This window comes from Homo sapiens, chromosome 6 (genome assembly GCF_000001405.40).
Source record: "Homo sapiens chromosome 6, GRCh38.p14 Primary Assembly".
NCBI classification, from domain to species: domain Eukaryota; kingdom Metazoa; phylum Chordata; class Mammalia; order Primates; family Hominidae; genus Homo; species Homo sapiens.
The window spans coordinates 90,776,715-90,803,656 of NC_000006.12; the positions used below are offsets into that span (position 1 = coordinate 90,776,715).

Below are 26,942 nucleotides of genomic sequence, written 5' to 3' on the forward strand. Positions count from 1 at the left end.
TTTTAAAATAGTTTTTATCATACATATAGTCTAAATAATATATATTTGTTTTACTTGTTCCAGGATTTTATAAAATGCTCATGTGACAATGAAGACTTCTAGTTTTGCCTTATCAACATCATGCTACTAAAATTCATCTATGTTGTTGAGTATAGCTGCAGTTCATTTATTTTTCACTACTGTATACTATTTCATTGTGTGAATGTGCTGTAATTTATCTTTTCATTCTCTGGTTGAAAATTATTTAATTTTATCTTTAGCATTTTACTATCATGAACAAATGTTGTTCTACACACTTGCTGATACTCATGTGTAAGGATTTCTTTAAGATTGATACTATAGGGAGGCTGAGGCAGGAGACTGGCGTGAACCCGGGAGGCAGAGCTTGCAATGAGCTGAGATAGCGCCACTGCAATCCAGCCTGGGCAAAAGAGCGAGACTCCGTCTCAAAAAAAAAAAAAAAAAAAGAAAAAGAAAAGATTGATACTATAAGTGGAAAAACTAAGTCATTGAGTGTGTAAATGTTGCATCACAAGGTAATGCCAAATTGTTTCATAGGGTGTTCATATCTTTGATTATATTCAAAGTAGCTTCTCCCTATGAGAACTTGTCTTGCTAGAATATATTTTCTTAAATTACTTTATTTAAATGCCCGAAATCCATAATGACATTCTGATCAAAAGACTCTCCACAGGGCATTCAGAACCCTCCAATGACTGGTAGCCCTATACCCATTCAAAGTGATCTCTTATTGTTCCCCTTTAGGATCACTTCACTCCAGCCAGGCTTGTGACCTCACAGTCTCACCCTCTTTCCCTGCTTTCCTGTCTCATCTTACCTTCTACCTCTTCCTTATCAATTTCAATCTACTTAGAGCAGAGAGTTTGAGAACACAGACTCTGGGGATGGACTGCTGGAGTTTGAATCTCATTTACTACCACTAACTGAGAGAACTCATTCATTTCTGGGTCTCAGTTTCTCCACGTGGGAAATGCAAATAATGACAGAACTTACCCTAGAGGTTTGTTGTGAGGATTAAATGAATTAATATACATAAAATTCTTAGAACCATAAACATTATATAAGTATGTGATGTGATATGTTATTATTATTCTAGTACAGGTTCTTATCTTGTTCTATAAGTATTTTATGACTAATGTAATTTTACTTTGATTTCATAAATAATGCATCATTAATATCTTATCTGAGGGCAGAAACCATATTGGTACAACTTTCCAAATATTTAGTACAAATTGGGTTTGTTGATGAATAAAATGAAATAAAATTGTGTATGGGAGTCAGTCCTACGTTTTCATAGTCTTGATACTGGCTATGAAAGAGTGGCTACCTCACACATAAAACTCCACTTGGCTGCTAATTTCCATGCCATGACACCAGCTTATGACACAGACCTTAGCACTAAGCCTAAATAGTTTACCTCGGAACCTAGATCATAAAGGTATAACTTGGGACATAGGGTGGAAAAGAATCTCTAAAATACAGATGCCTGGTTTTTGTGGGTTTTCTCAATTCTGCGTAGGGGTCCATCTTCTCCAGACTGGCTTGGATTGCAAGAAGCTGCATCTTCCTACAGAACTATTGTGATAAAAATGTGAAACAACACGGGGTCCCAGTTCAGACCTGAATGAGGTACCAAAGGTGATTTTTGCACCACTGATGCTCACTCTCCAGCACCATACTGCAACCAGATGCCCCATTCACTTGACGAGGTGTGCTGCCAACAGGACTGGCATTTTTGCTATTGACCAACATTAGCTGGCATGGTTACAAGAGTCTGGACAGCCAGTTAATCCTTAAAGATATGTCTTCTTTGATTGTGTGCTATAACATTATTCTTGCAAGTACTATTTTCTAAAGGACTTCTGAAGCAATAGAAAAAGCCGTAAATTGCTTTCCATTGCTAGGAAAAGTCATGTGTCTGTTTAAGTATACAAGCATCTTCAGAGGGTTATTTGTGATTGCAACATTTTCAGACTCAATAGAGTCACATAATAAAGCAAACCCTTTCTAAGCATTTGAGTGTCCTTTCTCTGCTGTTTGAAGCACACAGATGAAGATAAAGATACACTGGGGAGGAAAACATATTTCTCCCAGAGAAGAAGAACAGGGTATGTGAAGTGTTAAAAAACTCAGAAAAGGGATAATGATTAGAATTTCAGGTATTCTTGAGCTATTGGATCAATTCAAAATGCATGAGTGTTTCAAATTTTAGAGAATACTATAAATGAAAAAAAAGTGGCCATGCAAGTTTAAATTTAAATATTGCTGACTTGGAGTTTTAACAAAGCAATTCACATTGCCGTGAATTGGAGATGGCAAAGATCCGCATTGCCACCAAATCCGTTGATCTGTTGAGTTCTTAAATTCAGTTCAGTTTTTTTTTAATTTCTAATTTTAAAATATTAAGAAAATTATTATATTTCTCCTGGATTGACATGTAATATAAGAAAAGGGAATTTCAGTATGTGTATACTTTAAAAATGTGAGGAGAAAGAGAAAACACTTTGAAAACATAGGTAATAGCCATAAATAAATATTTTGAAAGTGTCACTAGCCTCCTTCTCCATAATTAGTGTGCTAAGATGGCACAAACTAGGGAAAGGGAGGAGAAAATTACTTTTCACGAGGGAAAGGTTAGTTGGAATTTTCAGTTTTTATTAGAAAGGAAAAAGACTTTAAACCTAAGAAATGTGATGTCAGCTTTCATCTTCTTTTGTGACTTTTTGGCCCACTTAAAAATTAAAATAATGCATAGCTTCCTCAAGTCAGTAAGAGGATTCTCAAATAACATGCTTAGAATGAAGAGATCAGGACAACAAGTCTTTAATCTGAACAAGTAATTTATAGGATTATGAAAAATCCAGGTTCTTGACTAACCCCACTACAGAGTGAGACATAATTAAATTACGAGAGGAAAAAAGAACCATGAATCTGCTACCCCCTATAATCACTCATTAGATTTCAATGATTATTGAAAGCAGGTTAATGCAAAACTCAGCTATTTGTCTTTGATATACCTGAAAATTCTTTGGGCATTTCATCTAAATCACTTTGAAACACCCAGAAGCTTGGTAAGAGAATGCAAACAGACTTTTTTTTTTTTTTTTGAGATGAAGTCTTGCTCTTTCACCCAGGCTGCAACCTCCACCTCCCGGGTTCAAGCGATTCTCCTCCCTCAGCCTCCTGAGTAGCAGGGATTACAGGGGCCCACCAACAAGCCCGGATAATTTTTGTATTTTTAGTAGAGACAGGGTTTCACCATGTTGGCCAGGCTGGTCTTGAACTCCTGACCTCAGGTGATCCACCCACCTCAGCCTCCCAAAGTGCTGCGATTACAGGTGTGAGCCACCACTCCCAGCCAGACCCATTTTTTTATAAATCAGGTAGTGCTACCCATTCTTTAAAAGGCACACCACATTAGTATAGGCCAAAGTCTCTTTCGTTTCATTATATAACAATGACAGCAACTCAATTTAAGTGTATAATGACCCAAACCAGCCATCCTAGCAGCAAAAAAACTTAATAGCAATCTTATCTGGAATGTTGACAGGGAGCACTTCCCAAGAAACCATTACAGCCTCTTCAGTTTACAAAACAATTGGCTTTAATCTTTAATACTGTTAAGCAGTAGGGGGCAGATAGGCACATTAGCATAGCTTTACTTTTTATAAATAGCATTTAATGCACCATATTCAGATACTGTTGGGCTAAGCATCTTATGTCAAACAGTTTTAGATTTGAGCAAATACTACAAAGATTTTTTTTTTTTTTCTTGAAAGGCAAGGCACAATGCTTGCATTCCCATGATAGGACTTAGGAGAGTTTGTATATCAATGAAATTTGAAGGAAAAAACCTTGAACATGTTTCCTTAGGGAAATGTAAGATTCCTTGACATAAATTTAAGTTACAATGAGAAAAAAACCATTAAGAAGAAATTTTCTCAGTTCAACATAGAAGCATTAGCTTCATTAAGTTCATGTACTCTGCTTGGAGCATGAAGTAATGCTATAGTCTCACCACTATAGCTCTTCATCCATTTAAAAAATTTCTTTATTATTGCATGACAAGAACCCAGATGTGAATTTCAGATATTCTCTTTCTTAAAGAAGCAAATATATTTTTTATCTTCGTAGTATGTCTTTGGATAACATGGAAGAAAGGGCTTAATATCATTGCTAAAATTGAAGGGCTGAGCGTGGATGATTTTCCGATGACTTACTGGGATCCTCACACTCAGTGCATGCCAGGTAGTCCTTCAAGGCATACCATATACACACTGCACACCTTCCTGGAGCATCTCATTTCCTTAATGATAAGAAATGTGTTTTGTATTCAAATAGGCACAAATGCATTAGGAATATACTGAACAACTTCCCTGCATTTTAAGATAAACAAAACATAGGACTTTAAAGAAATTTCACATTTATGCTGGACTGCTTTGGCAGAGGTGGGCCTCCAGGTTCCCAGGGTAAGTACACTCAGCTTTCAATTAAGGATATTTTGAAAGGAAGATTTGAAGACTGACTTAAACAACGGGGAGCAAGACCTACAGTCTTGCTGTAGTAGAAACCGTGTGGTTAAATGACAACTTAAGCAAAAATATTCAAATATAGTTTTGCCTCAAAATTCATTCTGATAAAACTTTTCCTCTAGTTGCAAACAGAATTGGGAAAAATACAGGTCTTGCATTCTCGGCCTTCTATTTAAAACGCAATAAAGCTATTTTGGAATTAGACATTATTTATTTGGAGAGAGTAGATTTATCACCTTGCTTCACACTTTCTACTTCTGATCTCTCTTGGTTTGCCTGTTAGCTTTTGGGGGAGTATTTCTTTTTGATAATCATCGTTATCTACTTATCTCAGTAATAAAGACTCTTGCACTGTTTTAACATGTTAGATGGTTAGACTATTTTGACCCAAATTGCTACTTAACTAAAGCGTGTATATAAATATCATTCTAGCAGAAATGTAGCATAGGTAAGAGTCTTCTATCTTCTAATATGTACATCTGCATCAATGAACACACTTTCTATAAGATAACTTCAACTATACTTATGATCTTCTCTACCTTAATGTAATATCATCAATCTCTTAGTCAAGACGCAGAAAAAAATTTTTGGATAAAACAGCACTGTGAGACATTAAAATAGAAAAGGAATTGCTGGACAAGATGCAGAGCCTTTTTAAAATAACTTATTTGAAAACATCTAGCAAAGACAATGTGTTTTAATGTTAAAGCAGACTCTAGCCACAATTACAATAACTCCCCACAGTTTTCTTTAGTCTCTGTTTTCTGAGTAGCTTTTTTTGATCTTCACAACAATCCTGTGAGATAGGCAAAACTTTTGCTTCCATTTCACAGAGAAGAAACCAAGATTCATAAAGGTTAGATAATCTGTCCAAGGTCATAGACCTAAAAAGTGATATAGTGGTCATTGTTCCCTACACCACTGATTCCATGTTCAGAGATATTTTCCCAAATGCTATGCTGCAAGCTTTCATCCCAATTAAGTCATTTATAAATGTGACTTTGTATTTATAAGAATGACCTCTGTAAGAAACATAAGAAACAGACTGTGGAACTCAGACCTACTCTATTTGGGTGGTCAGAAACCTACAAAACAATTATTGCTCAAAATGAGTTCTGTGGAACTCAGAGCAGGGGAAAAATGAAAACATAAATGTGGGGAATACTATCTACTAAGTTCTCTCTGGGAGATTCACAGTGTAAATGGCATAGTTACAACCCTGAGAAATACTGCAAAAATAAATGTATTCGTTTATCGCTTCCCAAATTTAATTGGGCTTGGAACTTTCTTTTTATCCCACTTATTAACAATTCCCATATTAATGCTGAATTCCAGCTTATTTTAGAAATTTCCCTTGTAGTGAAGAGTGAAATTTAAAAAATAAACCTGGTTTGAAATTCCCGTTGCCAAATTGGGTAGTAAATGCCTGGAATATGAATCTTATTCTCCTTTAACTTTGAAGGTTCCTGTAAAGAAAGAAGAGGATCTTTGAGTTTCTTTTTTACTTCTGCTTCCATCCTTTGGCTGTTCCAGAGCTGTTAACCGCCATGCTGTGATGGTTTGAAATAAACCAGCCTTGCTATGAAAAACTTTGATAGATTCAACATCTCTTTATTTTCCTCCCTGTAGTGATCATTGTGGCACAAAATGATTTTTGAGGTTATGGGATAAGAAAAAAAGTTCTATGAAAGCAGGTCTTATTGATCCTATTGCAGGAGGTCTTATCACCGAGGATGGAAGATGCGGTTACTGAACTGCTTTTTACCAGCCTATGGAAGAGTCGATGCATTAAGTTGAAAAGAATGGGCTTAGATCATAAATCTGTTCTTTGGGGAAATTACAGATTCAAGCTCTTTGAAGATATTTATTCCTTCAAAGTTCTTAATTTGTGTTTATTCATTTCCCCTAGTTGATTTCAGGCACAAAGATAAGAAGAAAAACTTAATTCTGTATTGTGGCCATGCCTGGTCTGTGATTAGTATGAAAACGCTTTCTAAGTTTTCCAAGATTGCCTTTTAAAATAATCATATTTTGTTGCTGCCTTCGTTGGAATGCCTCTGTGTGTCTGATACTAGGCTTAATCTTGTTATTTTGTGAATATTATTTTGAAAATGAAATTCTCAAAGAAAAAAGGCTGAAAGGAAATTCAACCAGAATATTAACAATGGTGGTTTTCTTGGAAAGTGGGATCGTGGGTGATTATATTAATTTTTTTCTTATATTTTATGTGTTTGTGACATTTTCTACAATATTATTAGCATATCATATAGTATTACTGTGAAAATCAGAAAAAGGTACTAAACTATTTGACATTTAAAATTAGGGTCCTATTTCTCTTTAAACTTCAGACATGATTTAAAGGTTTTTTGCTTTTCCTTTCAGCCCCACCTTTAAAAGTGAGGGAGGTAAAGTAAATGTATAATATTTCCAACAGTAATGCATTGCTAAAATCAAATTATTGCATAATGATGATTAAACATCTAGGTCTGCCTCCAATAAAGAAATGAGGAATGACCTAATTACTGTAGTTTGCCTGTAAAAACCTATTCATTTATCACTTCACCGAACATTATGACCAGAGTTTTACAGAAAGAGCGGGTTTCAATTTATAATTTTCCTCCCTCATAAACTGAAATTTCTGTTGAGCAGACATGAAAGATTTAGGCAACATTCACCGAGGAAAGCCCTCCAGCCTTCTCATAGGGTGCCTGGGAAGACTAACACCAATTTACATGCCTCTGGTCTAAAGAGCTATTGCTCTGAAAAATCTGAGGGCAGGCATCTCTCAGTCTTCTCCCCTTTGCATTTCTGACATGAATTGTTTCCACATAAATTTACTTTCTTATTGGTTTTGACATAAGTAGGACCAGAAAGACTTTACAGGAAAGATTTGGGTAGTTATCAAGATGTTTTTCCAACCCCTGAGAGAAACTGGAAATAAGTTTATATGAAGAAGTAAGATTTTTTTAAAGAAACTTGAGAAAATATTGTATATATATATAACACATCCCTGAGATCATTCCCTAAAAGCCATACTTCAGTGCTAAATTTAGCTAGTCTAGTTGGACATGATTTAATGATGTTTTCTTAAGTTCTCTGTGTCTGACTATTCATAAAGCAAATAAGTCTTGATGACAAGAAAAGCTTAATAAAATCAATATTGAATTGTCTGGAAATTAGCGATATGGTTTATGGACTCTGTATTAGTCTGTCCTCGCGCTGCTATGAAGAAATACCAGAGACTGGGTAATTTATAAAGGAAAGAAGTTTAATTGATTCCCAGGTCCATATTGCTGGGGAAGCCTCAGGAAACTTACAATCATAGCAGAAGGCAAAGGGGAAGTAGGCACCTTCTTCACAGAGTGGCAGGACAAAGTGAGTACAAGCAGGCGAAATGCTAGATGTTTATAAAACCATCAGATCTCCTGAGACTCACTATCACTAGAACAGCAAAGGGGAAACCGCCTCCCATGATCCAACTACCTCCACCTGGTCCTGCCCTTGACACGTGGGGATTATGGGGGTTACAATTCAAGATGAGATTTTGGGTGGGACACAGCCAAACTGTATCAGACTCTCCAGATCCCTAGTTTCTCTTTTGTTTCTTTTGTACTACCTGAGCTATTGCATGAAGTGTCATGAGAGAATGCAATTATAAGGTTGATATCACTTGCCAAACCAATGAAAAGCATAAGGTATCTCTCTGGGTATGCATTTTAAGGGAAAAGAGAAGAATACACAAGGCAAAAAACATCTTACTAATGGCTTGGCAGTATTTAAATATTTGATTATCTGGTTGTCCTATTTCCACCAGCCTTCCTCTCCAATCTTATTTCTCAAAGTTCTTCACATGCAGCCCAGGCCCCCGTTTTTGTGATTTTTTGATTAGGCACATGCATTAGTCAGGGTCCTCCAGATAAAAGAAACCAATAGTATGTGTGTAGACAGAGAGAGAGATTTCATTTAAAGAATTGCCTCATGAGACTATGGAGACCAGCAAGTCCAAGATCTGTAGGGTGGGACAGCAAGCAAAGATCCGGGGCAGAACCAGTGTTGCAGATGAAGTCTGAAGGCAGTCTGTGGCAGATTTCTTCTTGCTTGGGGGAGGTCAGTCTTTTCTATTTAGGCCTTCAACTGATTGGATGAGGCCTACCCACATTACGGAGGGTGATTGGCTTTACTTGAAATCTACCATAAATGTTAATTTCATCCCAAAACTCTCCCAGAAACATCCAGAATAATGTTTGACCAAATATTTGGGCACCACGGTTTATGTAAGTTGACACATAAAATTGACCAACACAGCGTATGTAGTTTTCTAAGTCTCCCCAGGTGATTCAGACACCACCTTCTCCTCACTGAAGTAAAATCATCACTCTACTTCTGTTTCTCCTCCTGGTTGAAAACAATTGCTCTAGCTATGCCAAATTATTTTGAATACTCTGAATATTGACCTCCTTATGAAACCATGTCTGACTCTGCTGCTTCCTCATTTTAATGTTCTTCCTACCGCTTCTCTGCTTGGCTTCCTCTTAGACTCTATTCATCTTTTAAGAATTAGCTTAAGGCTGGGTGCGGTGGCTCGCGCCTGTAATCCCAGCACTTTGGGAGGCTGAGGCAGATGGATCATTTGTGGCCAGGAGTTCGAGACCAGGTTGGCCAACATGCCAAAATCCTGTCTCTACTAAAAAAATACGAAAATTAGCTGGGTGTGGTGATGCATGCCTGTAATCCCAGCTACTCAGGAGGCTGAGGCATGAGAATTGCTTGAACCTGGGAAGCAGAGGTTGCAGTGAGCCAAGCTGCAGCCTGGGTGACAGAGCAAGACTCTGTCTCAAAAAAAAAAAAAATAAACATAAACATAAACGTAAAATAAAATAAAGAATGTGTTTAAGCACTGTAACCTTTTACAGATTTTACCACCTTCCTCTGTGTTCCTATATATATTTAAGTGTCTTTATTTCAGCACATGGGATAGGTTGTGTTGTGACTATTTATTACACATTCATCTTAGTCTGTTTTCTACTGATATACAGAATACCACAGACTAGGGAATTTATAAAGAAAATAAGTTTATTTGGCTTATAGTTCTGGAAACTGGGAAGCCTAAGAGCATGGTACCAGACTCCGGTGAGGGTCTTATTGCTGCATTGTCTCATGGTGGAAAATGGAAGTGCAAGCAAGTACATGAGGCAGAGATAAAATGGGGGCCAAACTTACCCTTTTCTCAGGAGCCCACTCTCTTGATAAGTAACCCAATCCATTCATGACCTAATCACCTTTTAAAAGTCCCACCTCAATACTGTTAGAATGGCAAATAAATTTCAACATGATTTGGGGAGGTAGCATTGAAACCTAGCAATGTCTGTTTATTTCATTAAAATGTGAATGCCTTGGTATTAGAGGGTGACTTATTCATCTTTCTATCCCATCATCTAACAGAATCGAAGAAGGCCTATTTTCACAATGAATATTGGCTGAATGATTATTTGCTGGGTGAATTGAGATCTGAAGGCTATACCTAAAAATTCTAGCAGCTGTGGTTGGACAGAAAAGAGTTTGAAAAGGATCATGGAAATGGTCTATATACTTTTAAGGGAGGACTGGTTCATATGGGACATCCTAGGCAGCAGAAGGAAGCTTATTGGGCAGAAGTTGGGAATAGTAAGAGAAGGAGTGTGTTATCTGATAAAAAATATCTATTATTTTGAATTGTTTCATAGGTCAGCCTTAACATGTCCTATATCCTTTTCTTACGCATTCACCTATTAGATAATGAATAATATAACAGTATAAAATGAGACCACTGCTTCTATCAAATTTTATGTTTGCTTAGTGCCATCTCATATATAATGATGAAATTGCAAGACATTCAGTATTTTCCTGATCCATTAAAATCTGTGTTTATATATTAAGCTGCTATGAACAACGCAAATGACCTGATGGGAGACTCCCCCGCCCTTGCTGGCCTCACATAGCTTGATACTTTTGGACCCTGTGGCAAGGAAAATGAGTTTGGAAGCTATTGAGCTAGAGCTGTGGTTTTTAAAATGGACTAAAACATTGTCTAAGTCAGGGGAATAATATGCATTCTTATAGGTCAATGGGGAAATGTGTGCAGAGGGTAGAAGGTGGGGGGGCATGATTACAGTTATTTATATACCGGTTGCATCTCAGATATTTTGGATTTAAACTCTCCAAAGACCCAAATCACCACATCAAGTTTCTTTAAACTTTTTTTTCATGTGCATAATTGAGTGCTCAGCTGGATGCTGCACTCTACAAGCCTGATTTCCTTCCTAATTGCACAAGTGGCTGAGCTCTTACAATGCCATATTTCTGTTCATTTGCATTTACACAATATACTTCACTGTGTGCTTCAAATGCACCATTTGAATGTTGAGTCCTGTCTTTATCTTTAGGGTTCTTATAATGGCTCGGCCCACAGATAGAGCAAGTCTGGGGAGAGCTGCTATAATCTCGCTATGAGACTGCCTTCTTACAATCGGCCAATATTCAGCTGGCTTCTGAGGTGATGCTCAGCAGTAATTCAAATGGAAGAACACAGCAATAAGTAGAGGGAAAGAACACCCAAGGCGATCATTTAGAAATCGTTTTCAGGTCAGAATAAAAGAACATGGGATTTGTTTTATTTTATTCCAAACACCATGTAATCAAAAGGGTCTCAGGCTCCCTAGGAGTTCACTACATGGGGTTGCTTTATAAAACTGTCGAACAAAGCTAGAAAGAATTCTTGCCTTATATTCCCTTCCTAACTCACGTACTTGTTTTCAAATAAAATGAAGGAGTCTCTCTCTTCAAATAGTATAATTTCACTAAATGCTATAACTTCAGTTTCTGCAAAAGACCTGTTGATCAAATATAGAGCACACTTGTGGTAGCAAAATATATTTGTAATATGATCTCTCATATTTACTGCATTATGAATTTTGAACATATTTTCCTTTCGGATTAACTAAATAGGGAAAGGCTCCTGGGTTGTCCTGAATGGTAGAATAATCGGAATCAGAGATGGAGGAGTCCTGATGGGGTCATCCTATGCTGGCTTGTGCTAAATATTCTTTAATGGTAAGGTTTCTCAACTTCAACACTATTGACATTTCAGCCAGATCTTCTTTGTCGTGAGCGGCTGCTCCGTGCATTGTAGGATGTTTAGCAGCATCTCCGGCCTCTACCCACTAGACACCAGCAGCATTTCTCCATGATGACACCCAAAAATGTCACCAGACATTGCCAAATCTTCCCTGGGAGGCAAAATTTCCCTGTTCGAGAACCACTTCTCTATAGGAACAATTTTGGTGACTGTGACCAGCCTATTTGGGCAATGTTTTTACTCAGGAAGTGTAACATAGAATGAGATCTAATAGATAAAATGTTGAGGTTGGCTTGCACTGTGGAGACTGAACATTTATTAAAGACTCCAGATCACAGCCAAAGTGACCTGGAATTTCAGAATTAATATAGGGATTTTCTTGCCATGCTATGCCCATTGCATCAGTCAGGGTTCTCCAGAGAAAAAGAACCAATAGTGTCAATGGTAATGGCAAAAATCGCAATTACTTTTGCACCAACATAATATATATCTCTCTCTCCTCTCTCTCTCGTGAGAAATGATTTATAAATCAGGAGTTGAGGGCACCCCTGGCACCCCTTTCAAGAGAGAGAGGAGAAAGAGAGAGAGACAGAGAGAGAGAGAGAGAGAGAGAGAGAGAGAGAAAGAATTTATTCTGGAAATCGGCTCACAGGACTATGGAGGCTGAGAAGCACCACGATATGCTGTCTGTAAACTAGAGACAGAGGAAATCTGGTGGTGTAATTCATTCCCAGTCTGAAGGCCTGAGAACCAGGGGTGAGGGATAGGGTAGGGTGAAGGTGAGGAAGGAGGACTGGTATAAGTCTCAGAGTCTGAAGGCCTGAGAACCTGAAGCTCCAATGTCCAAGGCAGGATAAGATGGATGGCCCAGCTCAAGAGGAGAGAGAATTTGCCCTTCCTTCACATTTTTGTTCTATTTGGGCCCTCAACAAATTGAATGACACCTGCCCACATTGGTGAGGGTGATCTTCTTCACTCAGTCTACTGATTCAAATGCAACACCTCACAGACACACTTGGGAATAATATTTTGCCAGCTATTTGGGCATCCCTTAGCACAGTCAAGAGGACATATAAACGCAACCACTACAGCTAGTCTATGGTCTCAGACTTTCTCAGCTCTCTCAGTGCAGCCCAGATAGAAGCATAGACACCTATCCCGTCGTTTTTTCGGAGAACACCTATAGGTTCCATAAATCAAGTCCTTGTAATCTGAATACATTTTTACCATTATTTTGAAATATTCAACTAATCAATAGGGCATCAGCAGTGATACTGCCCTGTAATATTTCAAATTATAATAGAAATCTTGTACTTTTTGGATGATTCACAAGTTGGATTTATAAATCTAAACTCACTTGAAGTTAAAAACTCAGGGTTTAATTTATGGAACCTGCCCATATATTTTAGCAGCCTGCTTTTGATTTATAAGTCTCTCCTCTTTTTAATGGTAGTTGTAGCCAACTGGTTTTTAGTGTTTTATAAGTCCAAAAATTAATTTCCATATCCTTAAATGGGTTTACAAATCCTAATATAGATTTACAAGTCCTGAAACAGATTTTAAAATCGTGCCAATAAATCCTAAATAAAGACTTGATTTACAAACCTGGATTTTGCACCTGGTTTTCCAGGAAGTGATTTATAAATCAGGAGTTGAGAGCACCCCTGGCAGAGTGAGTCCACTTTCTCTCTGGGAAGTCCTGCTCTCTGCATCGAATTGCGCTGGCTTGATTTACAAGGCAGCAGCCTCGAGCTGGCCAAGGCTCCTCCGGCTCTGACATGCCTGTGCTGGTGAGGAAAAAGGGCCACATCCCACAGGCTGGCTAAAACGGTCACTAATCAGACTGAAGACAGCAAACCATTCATCTTCTTTGTCAGAGAGGGAAGGTGGTGACCAGATAGTGAAGACTTCCAGTTCTGCCTGAGTAAAGCAGCTGAGATACATGCAAGGCATTTGGCGCGACTCTAGTCAGCATTAACACTTGCATTACACTGCACAGCCCAGGGCCAAGGTCAGGGTAGAGAGTGTGTCTCATTCCTCAGATAGAACTGAGGATGGGCATCTGTACTTTGTTCCCTTCCTGTCATTATGCTGCTGAAGATGTTTGGCCTACAGAAGAATGTACACCAGACTGGTGACAGTGTTTTTTCTGGGGGAATGGGATAGGAGGAGAAGGGTAAATCATTTCTACTTCCTTAATTCCTGGGCTGTTTGAATAACTTTCACAGTGACCATGTAGTACTTTCATAACTGCAAAAAATATACCAGCAAGTATCAGGAATATGGGGAAACAAGGGGTTTTATTATTTGCTCTTTCCTAAGTACCTATAGCAGCCTGCCATCACACAGGACTCCCTCATTAGCTAGCATTCTGTTATACTCTGCATTGGTGCCCCCTGGTATTTCTAAAGTAGTTTAGAGTCCACAGAATCCTTCCATAGAATGCTTTCTTATTTACTCATCCAGTTTCCTGTGAACCAGGCAAGGCAACAGTCATGTTCCAGACACGTCAGCTGAAGCTCCCAGAGGATGAGTGGCTTGCTTTACCCAAAAGGATATTTAACTAGGCTGAACAATCTTTGGGCCAGCATTGGATTTCTCATTCCATAACACAGGCTTTCATGCCACACATAGGCCTCCTCACTCTCCAGGTCTGAAACACATTGTGGCTCCTATGGCCCAGCTGCTCTCTGGGCCGTGTGTTATGACTGTGTTATGGCTCCATCGGTGAGCCAGCTGAAGCTCTGTCAGTGATAGTCTTCTTTGAAAGACTGTTGCTTTCTCTTTTTCTCACTCTCTGTCGGTCTCTCACACTTGCTCTGGCATATACCGATCTTCTGAGCCAAGTTGTGCCCTTCAGTGATCCTGCTCAGTTCCCTCAAAATGGCTCAGACACCAGTTGTTTTGTTTTGTTTTTGTAAAACCCTCCTGACCACTATACTTTCCAGTGCCTTTTCAAATCATCGTAGCAGTTACTGTTTGTTTACCTGCCAGTTAATTACCTACCTCCTCTCCTGATGTCTTTCATTTTTGGTGAAGAAGTTCTCCACAGTTAAAATCAGGAACTCCGAGTTTGTATTCTGGCTCCATGACTTGCTGGAAAGAAGCCTGATGAGCCTCAATTTGTTCAAATGAGAATCTATTTTAACTTTCCTACCTACTGAACATTGTGGTTATAATGCTCAAATGAAATAAAATAGGAGAAAATGTTTTGCAAATCTTAAATGCTATATGACTGTAAGCTGCTAATATAGCCCCACTATTGAGGATGTGAGAAGTTTAAATGTGGCTGGGGCAATGATGATTAAAAAGTAATTACAATAGTGATTTAGACCATAAATGCAATTTCGTTTACATATATATGAATGTGAATTATGTAAATTTGAAGTGCTATAATATAAAATATTAATGTCTCATTTTATATACAAATTTTGAGATAAAAGCCTTCCAAATTAAAAAATACTTGCCAAAATTATACCACTTCAAAGCTGTTGGCCTGAGTAAACTATAAACTATGCATTGACTATTGTTGGTTGGCAGTGCCACTTTAGCTGGTAAAGAAAAGAGGCACTCATTCTTTGTCAGAAAAATGTGAACCAGGCCCTTGTACCATGTGTCAAAATGTACTATTTAAAATTCATTGTATTATAATGAAACAATATGAAGAGCCAAAAGAAATATCATTCAAACTTTTATCAAGCAGTGGTGTTAGCATTCGGGCTATGAATCCTCTTTTTTTTTTTTCCTACCTTCCAAAGTAGTAACCTTGCAACATAATTGAGATGTGATAAAATACCATTTTTACTGCTCAATTATTTGGCAGAAAGAACTCTGGGAAATATTAGAGATAATCCTGAGTAAACAAAGAAGGAATAGTAAAGCAGTCCTCCTTTCAAATTCTTTAAAGTCATCATATATCCAGCTGAGGATAATGGGAAAAAATGGGTAAGACTGTGGAGATGTGGCTGTATGATGAACTCCCTATAATGTGCCCCCAGACTATCATGAGTGTAGTGGTATTCACTCAGAGAATGAAATATCCTATTTAAATTTATTCCTTTGAGAAAATTAGTCTTGAATTTTGCAAGGTTTGAAATACCTCTTTAGGAAAACCTCCCTTGCATACAATCTGATTTGCCTGCAATCAATGTGGTGAAGACATACTTCCTATTTAACATTCACAACTGGGTAGTGGAACACAATGTAGGTAAGACTGTGACTTTTAAATTGTCATCTCTAATTTCTAAGACCTTCCTCTTTTTACGTCTAGATTATCAACTTCTTGAAAGTAGGAAGGAGTCCATTTCATATTCTTTGACTTTCCTCAATATCTAGTAAAGAACAGGTACTCTCTCAATAGATATTTTGGAGTAATTCATTAAAAATACACACCTGTGTTATTCAGATTCTGTGTAGAGCCTAATAAGAATTTCACCCCATGAATAATTTTAAAGGATTATATTAATAAATGGGGTGCTTTGTTCACAATAAGCCCACTGATTTGTACCTTGGCTTAGAGCTAAGATGTGATTTGAGGGCCTGCTGATTACAAAATGATTGTTTAAATCTTTGCTTGTTGTAATAAGCCCTTTACTGAGCACTACAGCATGCTAAATAGGAGCTCTCCAGTCTAAACAAATAAATCAGATAATCCTAACATTACATAAGAATCTACAGACTTAATGAAAATCTTAACAGGGAAGATGTACAATGAAAAATATTTATGTGCATCACTTAATTTAGTGAACAGAAGAAAGAGTTACAGATCTGCAGTCTGCCTATACAGGCAACAAACCCTATTCCCGGCCCCTTTCATGATGCCTGTGTTAGGACCAACAAACACATACTATGTATTAATTGAAGGTGAGTATAAAGCTTCTAAAAATCTTGAGGAATTAAAAATAACCAGCCAAGCTAATTAAAAGGATATGCATCTTTTCTTCATGAGAATAAAGTCCAAAGAATTGTGAACTTGGATGAAACATATTTACATCTGCAATTTTACTGAACTTTAACTAAAATTTCACATTTTTATCTATTATGAATGTAGGCCAAGCCCCACCCCCTCCCAAAACAAAAAACAAAACCCACCGCAGCAAGGAGCAGTATTTGTGACGTTGGCTCAATATTTTTGAATATCATATTATTGTTGATGCCGCTATCTTGATGTACCATGTATTCTCACCTCTGCTTTGAAATTATGTTTGTTAATAGACAAATCCACTATGTCCTGTTATTTAATATATTAACAAGCACATAGATTACTATACCTTAAGTTACACAAGTATCTTTATGATATATATCTTGTGATATACATGGCTTCCTTAGTGATCTCATTTATTTTGGGTTATGCTCTTAGGAACATTTCTGGGAACGAACACAGAAGACTCCCAAGACTCCCAAAGGGATTTATGGCTCAGAAAAGGTTAAGAAACCCTGATCTAATGGCAGCTAAAAACATAGATTGTCTGTATTTGGGAATTAACTGGTCATAAACTTTGAAGACTAGGAGTCTCACTCACAGTTGACAAAGAAAGAATCCCTTTACTGACCAAGTCTATTGTGATTATAAATGGAGACTGGAAAGGCAACATTTTGTTACAACTATGTGCCAAAACTGTCTGCATGAGAAAAGGGGTCATAATCCTTTGCTCTTTCCTTTATTCCCCCATACATTGGTTAAAAAGTACTTTTAACAATATGTTTTTGCACCTTCTCAGCGATGGGTAAACGATTTATAAAAAGTCACATAAAGTGGAGACATGACCTTAATTCTTTGTGCTTATGTAGGGACATGAGATTTGTTATGTAGTGATATCATATACAGTGATTGTGCACTACAAAAGAATAATGACAGTGACAATTATTCCCAAAGCCGCTTTTGTTCATTGAAATGAGTGATATTTGTTACTTAAAAAATATTTCCTAATTATGTATGGCTATTTCCTTGCCAAGTGCTGACCAGGCCTGGCCTTCCTTTTCCAAGCTGACAGAAGGTTTCAGGTTGAAAGGGATTTGGACTTGAAACTGAATTTCTAATCTGACCAACTCCCCAAATGGGGCTCCTGTTCTTGGCAAAAATGCTCTTTGCATATTTCCAGAAAATCATCAGTTATTCAGAGGGACCTTTCAAATGCCAACAGCTTAAATAAGAAAATGTGCCATGGCAGAAGGAAGCAAGAATGAGGAGCATCAGGCTAAGTGGATCCTGCTGAAAGTAAATTTCCCTCATCAGGGCTTTAGTCCCCAGGAAAGGTCTCCATCCAGTTACTCCCTAGAGCAGCTGAGTCAAGAGGCCTTCTGAGCACTGTGGAGATTTTAACCCATCTGCCCTGAGGGGGTTGGCCTATGATACTGATTCTTCTTGTGTCTCACATTCTATTCCTTGAGAAGCAGGAATGAACACCACTTGACTCTTTATTGAAATTGTGTGCTTCCAATGGCACATTTCATGCTTTGATGCTTATTGAATTATTCCAAATTCAAAAATTTTAGGAAAAAGCTGAACATGAAAAATCAACTTCCCCCAATTTCATTTTGTAATATGTTGAATGCCTACTATGTGCTTGGCATTATGATAGCTTGCTCTAAGAAAATACAATCTAAGATAACAAATTGGACAAAGACACAATGATTGTAAGCATTTGAGTTAAGGAGTTCATGCTTTACCCAAAGTACAGTAAGTTCCTCATTGTCTAGAAAGCTTGGAATCCCTACATACCTAGATATTACCACAGTCAACTGTTTTTTTTTTTTGGCTTTTTCATTTGTAAAAGGAGAGACAATAATATCTGTCTCACAGTTCATTGTTATTAAGTGTGGGTCCAATGAGATTATGTATGACAGGGGGACAAGGCTGTGTAGGCTTGTGCAGACTGGGCTAATTCACAAAAGGAGCGACTCACTCCTACTCAATAGCCTTGTTATGTATGCAACTCAAATGATAAATTACACCATGTCATGGACATTTAGGTCACCCCTGGTTGAGTCTCAAGTAATAAATTGATAGCACAATTAATGTATATGGAAATTAGGGAAAAGTTAACACAGGGATGTCTTCAATGAAGAAGTGGATTTTGCCGTGGGTCTTGAAAAGTCAGTAGGTTTCTAAAGGCAGAGAGGATAGAAATTAGAAATGGTTGCTGGAAGAGGAAATAGTATAAAGAAAAACTAAGAGTTGGGTGAATATAACACGTGTGCAGGAAACAGTGAGTAGCCTAGTTTGTGCGCACCATGATATTTGCACCAGACTAGTGAGGAGATGGATCTGAGAGGGTAGACTGGGCCGTACTGTGGATGTTCTTCACATAGCTGGCAGTCAGGAAAAAACAAGAACATATTCTAACTGGGACAGAGCTGTGCTTTGGAAAATTAATCTGGTAGCAGCATGTAGAATGCATCAGAGGGTTCAAACATGCAAGGAGAGATAGAGACTGAGGTAGTCCCACTAGGAAATGGCCTAGCAATTCAACAGCTAGTTTAGGACTTGGCTCTGTATGGCCAAGGAAGTTATGATGACATGATGCTGAACTGTGGTGGTGGGCATGCGAGGCATTCAAGAGATTTTGCAGACGCACCACTTACACAGCTTTGCACTGGCTTTATCGAAACAGGGGAGATATAAAGACGATTTGGAGGTTTGAGGCCCAGGTGACATAGGAAAAGAGAAATAACATAAATGAAAAAGTTGGGAGAAGCTGGTCTGTGGGGTAAGCAAGATGGAGTAGTTCATGATATGAATTTGTAGTATGCTGAATTTAAGTTGTGAGTGAGGCTTCCAAGTGGGGGTGACAAGCAGGCTGTTAGGAATTTGGGTATGGGCCGAGAAGAGAGCTAAAGATTCAAGTATACACTTAAGCATCATCTCAAAGCAGGTAATATTTGAAGCAATGAAAATGAGTAGGATTCCTGAAAAGAGAAAGGGAATAAGAAAGCTGAAGTTAGAACACTGGCAAATATCCACTGCAGGTGAAGGGATGTGGCTGAAGGCTTTGTGGGATCAGGAGTAGGAAAAACCTACCGGAGTCAGGAAGGTAACTTAATTGGGAGGCGAGCTTGGGGTCAGAACATCCTCACCTACTTATTAAAAGGTGGGAATTGTGGGGGCACTAGGGAGGGTGGGTCTGTTTTAAGGGGTCCACTGGGACACAGTTTTAATGAGGGGGCCCAGTGTTGCAGATCTTTTGAGTTTTCAAGAGAAGTCATAAATCTAGATTGTGATGGGAATCAAGGAATTGTAACACATTAAGTCAGACTTTAAAAACCACTGTGCAGAACAAATAGAACATATCTGTGTCCCTGACCTAGACCAGGGGCCATGGGTCTCTCCTTCTGAGGTAGATAGAGATGGAATGTTCAGAGAAGTAGGAGGAAAGACGAAGTCAGGATGCTGCATTAAGCCTGACAAGTAGGAGGTAGTTGGTGATCTTCCAGAGAGCAATTTCACTGGCAAGGTGAAGGTAGAGGCCAAGTGAAGAGAGAGAGAGAGAGAGAGGAGAGAGACATATCCAAGGAGGGGAGAATTCTGAGAAGTTTTCTTGGGTTGATAATCTTACATTGCCTTTACGGCAGATGGGAAGTCTTTACTAGCTAGGACCACTAATTAAGAACATTTCATGAGGAAAATAAAAAAGACTTTCCAAATTACTACATTATTATGAGTGAATTAGGAGAGCAATTTGATCACTTGGAAAGTGCTCCTCTTTCAATAAATGTAAAATATGGATTCTTGCTGAGATTTCTAAGCTGCTTCATCTAAATTATATGCTAAAGTAGAGAAACAGATGTTAAATATGATTAAAACCAATTACAAGTTCCGCAGTACAATACTGTGTTTTACTTACATTAGTCTCCCTGCTAGCTTAGGTGCCATCCGCTTTGCCTTTATTTCCTGTTCATAACTCCAGGGTAAGCAATGTGGGGGATTTATGCAGTTTAGACCAGAACCTGACGGGGAGGTACAGATTCAAATGGAAGTGCCTCCGCAGATCTAAACAACTAGCAGAAGGCTCACTGGGGAGGGATGTAGGGGGTGTCCTAGTTTTGCATATAAAACAGATTGTTAAGTTTCTGGCCTGACATATCAATGCTTGTATCAAAACTGAATTTTGACTTAATACTGGGGTGAGCTTTTTCCAGATTTTTGTTTGTTTTTAATTTTTCAAATGGGTTGTTGCTATCTTGAGCATATGACTGTCTGATGCCTGTGCTTTGTCATTCAGGGACTGAGAGGAGAAACACAAATACCTCAAGAAAAAGGAGATTTGTTCATTATTAAAATTTTGGTGGACTGGGACGGGAAGTGATCAGAAGTGAGGCAACTCTGGGGAATTGGTATTCTTAGGGTCTTGTGGTCACATTTGCAGCTCTCTGCTGAGGCAGCATGTATGCTCCTTTCCTGAAGGATTCCTCTATAGATTCACAGGACAGCCTCCTTAGAACTTCAGCCTTGTGACTATTCTGATGCCCTCTTACTTCATGGATTTCAGTTCTCACAGTGGACGACTTCAGTCTCCTAGGATCCTCTCCTTAAATTTCTTGAGGGTAAATCTCTTGGTTTCTGCTAATCTTTCAGGCCAGACTATTGGCCAACCTCTGGAGTGGCTGCCCTTGTGTCAGGGACCATCCATGGCCAATCAGCTTTGGTGGGGCTTTGGGAGCCATCTGATAACAAAATGTGTCTGTTCCTTGAGCAAGGACTGTAGACCTGGAAGATTGCCGTGGATGGGACTGTAAGCAGCACACTTCCACTAGAAGTTACCTTGCTAGTCTCAGTGTCTAACACATAAGAGGTCCTCAATAAATAAATATCTGTTGAATAAATGACTGACAATAAATGGAGTGGCTTTGTTTTATGATTAGAAGCGTGTATGTTTGTATGTGTGAGATAAATATTCTCACGTTTGAGACTAAAGTAGGAGTGTCCAATCTTTTGACTTTTCTGGACCACACTGGAAGAAGAATAATTGTCTTGGCTCACATATAAAATATATTATTACTGATGAGATTTAAAAAATTACAAAAAAAATCTCATAATGTTTCGTTAAAGTTTATGAATATGTGTTGGGCCACATTCAAAGCTGTCTTGGGCTGAATGTGGCTCACAGGTCATGGTTTGGATAAGCTTGGACTAAAGCAAGTCCACCTACATGTTTTTTAATTATTGTAATTGGAAAACTAAATGAGGTAGAGCTCTTGTGCTCAAGCAGCATCTGATAGAAAAATAACGATATTTCTTTTTAGGGGTTTAATGGTAAAACATATCTTAAATTCTTAGTCTCTAATCAGATATGGGTTGTATGCTTCAATATCTCACCCTCTCATTCTTTCTTCTCTTTGTGTAAAATAGGATCAACAGAGAAATCCAAGTTGATTTAAATATATATCTTTCTTATGAAATGAGTCAATGAATAGTTTAAAACTCTTGATTTCCTGGGACTCAAGTCTCATAGGAAACTGATTACCATAACTCATTTTCAGAGTCAACTCTCTCAATTCTAATTAGAATTAGAAGTTTCTGAGGAATCCTGGGTACTTGTAATTCATACATAACATTAGTTATTCTTGAGTTATTCATTGGCTTGTCTTTGGGCAGTTTCTTTCAGCAGCCTCTCCTCATTTCTGCATGGATGGAGACTTCACCCTCCTGTTTTCTCACCATCCTCCATTTTCTTTCCATTCCACCATATCGTTTGTTCTGAAGTGATTGATGTGGTCACAGTGATAGTGTCCTGGTTTCTTTTATTTTTCTGAAGTCTTAAGTAATCTACATTATTAAGCTTACATTGTTTTATAGCAATGCAAGATATAGAGTGTGTGTTATGCTGTTCTTGCATTGCTATAAAGAAATACCTCAGACTAGATAATTTATAAAGAAAAGTGGTTTTGTTGGCTCATGGTTCTGCAGGCTGTACAAGCATGGTTCCAGCATCTGGTGGGCTTCTGGGGAGGCCTCAGGGAGTTTTTACTCATGGAAGAAGGTAAAACAGGAGCAGGCACGTCATGCGGTGAGAGAGGGAACAAGAGGGAGAGGAGCAGGAGTTGCTACATACTTTTAAAACAGCTAGATCTCCTGAGAACTCACACACTATCCGAGGACAGCACCAACAGGATGGTGCTAAAGCATTCATGAGAAATCTGCCCCCATGATTCAATCACCCCCGAACAGGCCCCACCTCCAACGCTGGGGATTACAACTCAACATGAGATTTATGGGGGCAAATATTGAAACTCTATCACAGTGCTACTGTTGTGTACATTTCTTTGGAATGGATTGCATTCTGAAATAGTGCAAAAATACTGTCATCACTTTTCTTAATACTGTTAGGTCCTTTTCCCTTCAGTGGCAGTTTGTGAATACTGAGATCCCACAAAGCAAAATGCCATCCTACATCTTGAAGCTATGCTTAGTGGGATTCAGTGATTCCTATTTATAGATTAGGTCCCTAGTGGTGATCTATGTACTATAAATTGCATGCTGATCTTTTGATGCCAATGCAGAGGGCAGCGTTCAGCATAAGAACGCAAGTAGAGGAGAGGCTGCAGGAAGCCAAGAGGTGATAGCAGAACTGGAAGAGTGGCAGGCCTTGGGTCAGGCCCTGACTTCTGGATCTTGAGTTTTGAATGGAATGTTTAGTAAATTAATGACAAATTGATAAATACTTAAAACTACAAAAACAAGTGGTTGTAAGAAGCCATGCAACAAACTAGCCAGACAGCAGAGATTGTATTCACCCTAACAGGGCTTAAGTCTTGCCAAGCTGAAGATGTGGCAGTCAGGCACCAATGGGCATTGAAGGCTAAGAGCTGAAATTAGGAGTGAGGCTGACAATCCATGAGTGAGCGTGCGAACAAGTCAGTGGAGTGTGTCTTGGCAATAGTTTCTCTCCATGGCAGTCACCCCATCCTTTTTAGAAGCTGGGACCCAGGAAATCTGTTCTGCCTCAGGAGGTGCTTTAAAGCTTCTACGTTTCAGTCTAGTTGTTCTCCATTGGGGGTGATTTTGCTCTCCAGGGGACATTTGGCAATGTTTGAAGATATATTTGCTTGTCACAACTGGCAGATGTTACTGGCATCTAGTGAGTGAAGACCAGGAATGCTGCCAAACATTGTATAGTACATAGGACAACCCCCTGCAACAAAGAATCATCTGATCCAGCATGTCAAGAGTGTCGAGGTTGTGAAAGCTAAAGGAAGAAGGCATTCTTAAGGATGTATCTCCTACATGTTGGCTTCACATTACATGTTGGTCCATGCTGATGGCTATCTCTTCCCAACCTTCCCTACCACTGCACTTGCATCATCTTTTCTTCTTCCCCATTCATACTTTGGCTGACTTTTGAAAACTGCCCCTGAAAGGGATCATTGTGGAGTTTCTAAATGTTTTGAAAGTGTTCTTATCAATAATTCAATTCTATTCAGTTCAACAAACATTTGTTGAGTTTTTGCTCATAACTATTTTGCTATATTCCCTGTGTAAGGGAATACAGAGGTGAATAAGCCTGGGTCCTTGTCCCATAAGAGATCATAATTTAGTGTGAGAGCCAGACATATACATAATTAATGATAATCAAGACAGACTAGAGTAGAGCTATAATTGAAGGGTAACCTAGCTGTCAGCTTGGGTCTTCCTGGCTCTACAGATTTAGGCAGCAGTGCCTCATATACTGCATGGGTATATGTGAGCCTTCTAAAATTTTTGTGAATTCACAGGGCAGTGTTCAGCATCAGAACACAGGTAGAGGAGAGGCTGCAGGAAGCCAGGAGGTGATAGCAGAACTGGAAGAGTGGCAGGCCTTGGGTCAGGCCCTGGCTTCTGGATCTCGAGTTTTGAATGGAATGTTTAGTAAATTAATACTTTTACAGTCCATCTTCTGCATTAATGCCTTCTTTCTCTATCCATTTTCTCCGGAACACAGAAATTCATTCCTATATTGGTTTCTGAGTATAAATCTACCCACTTAAAGATTTCTTTGAATTTTTACAGGATGCACCAATAATTCTAGATTATTCATGAAGGGGTCTCCTTGAATGTTACTTAATATGCCCTTTCAGAGTCCTCTGTCCCCTCCTTCTCTTTCACTCTGACACTTGCCTCCCTACTCTTCTGCAGAACAACTTGTTTCCTTTATTGTCTCATTCCTAAAAGTTCTCTCCACACTCAGAACGTTTGTGATCTCACCTTTTACTCTAGTAATTTTTAGGATATACTTTTCCCCAAGAAATACAATTCTCTTCCTAAGAGAATTTCTGGCACCAGAAATAACATTTTGTTCCACATCTGTGCAAAAACGCAATCACATTACGTAAGCAGAAGAAATACACTGGGAGATGGGGTCAGGAAAAGCTGTCTAGGGGACGTGAGCCTGGAAGTATCAGCAGGAATTAAGAGACAGAAGAAGGGAGTGTGCAAATATTCCAGGCAAAACAAACAGCATCAGCAAAGGCACAGAGGGTGAAGTGCTTTCTGTCTGGGAAACCGGTATGGAAAAGGTACAAGGAATATTCTTGCTGAAGAATTTAGACTTTGATCTGTATTCAGCAGGAAGTCATTAAAGCATCTTAAGCATGTATGGGAGAGTGGAGGGGATGGGGATGTCACAACCAGGTTCATATTTTAGAAAGATCATTGTGGATACCGTGTGGCAGAGGGATCAGGGCAAGGAGGAATGGTGACCTATCAGGAGACAGTCACAGTTGTCCAAGCAAGAAATTACATGAGAATGTGAAAGGGGAATGGATAATATTTAATTTTTCTTTGTAATTTTTTTTCACTTCATGTGCATGCCTTTTCTCTTCTATGATAGGGAAGAAAAGAATATAATTCAGTGTCCTTAGATCTAACTTTGAGTCCTAGATTTGTGAATTCTTCAGTTGCTACGTCCATAGGGCTGCTGTTTTGAGCTATCTCAAATGGCCATTTGGGCTGAGCTATCATTATCTAGATGACCATTCATTAACAGATCATTAACATCATTAACATCATTAAGTAGAGAGACCTCCTCTTAGTGGGTCAGGCAAACAATGTGGAGGTTTTCTGAAATACTTCCTTTAAGTGCATCTCCTCTTCACTGCCAGTCTTTCTTTCTGGTTTATAAGGTTATTTTTGCTTTCTTGAGATATCTGGGGTTAAGTCACTTTGGTTTTCCTTCAAGTGTTTAAGGTTTGACAAAGCAAAAACCCTGGATGTGCCAGCCCCTGACTGTCTCCTTCAATTTTCCCTTCAGAAAGTTGCAGCAAGTTTTTCTTTTTAGAAAGTACTAACTTCTGGAAACTTGAACATGCCATATGTATTTGCTTGACCAGAGAAAGGATCTTTTTTGAAAATCTTTGGAATCTTCTCCTTAAAGATTTGCCTGGTAGTTTCACCTTCTAAATATCTGCACCTTGCCCTTATTTCTATGCATGGTAACTCTACCAACTTTGTTCCTGCATTCTTCCTCCAGCAGTTGCCATTCCAGGCTCCTGGTGACTTTGGGTTTCTGTAGTTTCTTCAAAGAAGTCCTAGAGCATTTCCTGGAAGAACTGAAACATTCTCACTTTCCCCAAGAACTTTCCCCATCTCTGTCATCCTGGTTTGGAGTGAGTCTTTACTCTCCAGGAAGAGAAAATCCAGTGAATTTGTGCATTATTTTTTTGTTCCAATCTTGGTTGGATCAGAATATCCTTAAAGAAACTAAAATGAAGAAAATACTGCTTGGAATCAAGAATCATTTGCTGCCTAATAGCAGTGCAAACCTGGGAAAGTTACAATGTGTCTCCAAATTTTAAAGTCTTTGTCTTTTAAGCTAATATAACACATTGCAGCCTTATTGTGAGAGTTAAATGAGATTACGCATGTGAGAACACTTTCTGAACTTTAAAATTGTATATAAATTTTGGTGTAGTAATTTTTCTACACTTGTTGCATGTCGTATGCTTCTTCATTAATAGTGGACAAAAATCTCAGTAAATGATATAATGAATCTAATAGTCCTAGTTTATGGGGTGGATGAGGGTGAGAAAAAGGGCTGCAAGAAAAGAGACAGCACTAACTTTTTGAGGATGTAATTATTTTATAGTTAACAACAGGTAAGAAAGAAAGCCTCTTTACATTTTGGTCATGAGCCTAATACTTAAATTTATGCCACTAACCTGAGCCTCTCTTTCAGTCCAATATGTAACAAAAGAACTGAGAAGCCACAGGTCAGGTGATCTCTTATGGAATTTTGGGGTTAAAAGTGTTGAATTCTGATCAAACATCGTGAGATACTATTTCTTAGATATTTTAATGATAA

General features: G+C 38.5%; 1 long non-coding RNA gene across 1 annotated transcript in view, besides 1 other annotated feature; it reads left to right on the plus strand.

The window, feature by feature from the left end:
- LOC107986623 (uncharacterized) overlaps nucleotides 1-26,942 on the plus strand; it is a 324,476-nt gene that overhangs the window by 145,319 nt on the left and 152,215 nt on the right. The window lies entirely within an intron of this gene.
- Nucleotides 3,357-3,901: an enhancer, noted in NCBI's record as "OCT4-NANOG hESC enhancer chr6:91489789-91490333 (GRCh37/hg19 assembly coordinates)". NCBI's record gives its function as "activates a minimal SCP1, AML or CMV promoter by ChIP-STARR-seq in primed H9 embryonic stem cells {active_cell/tissue: H9 hESC(primed)}" and the evidence as "EXISTENCE:reporter gene assay evidence [ECO:0000049][PMID:30033119]".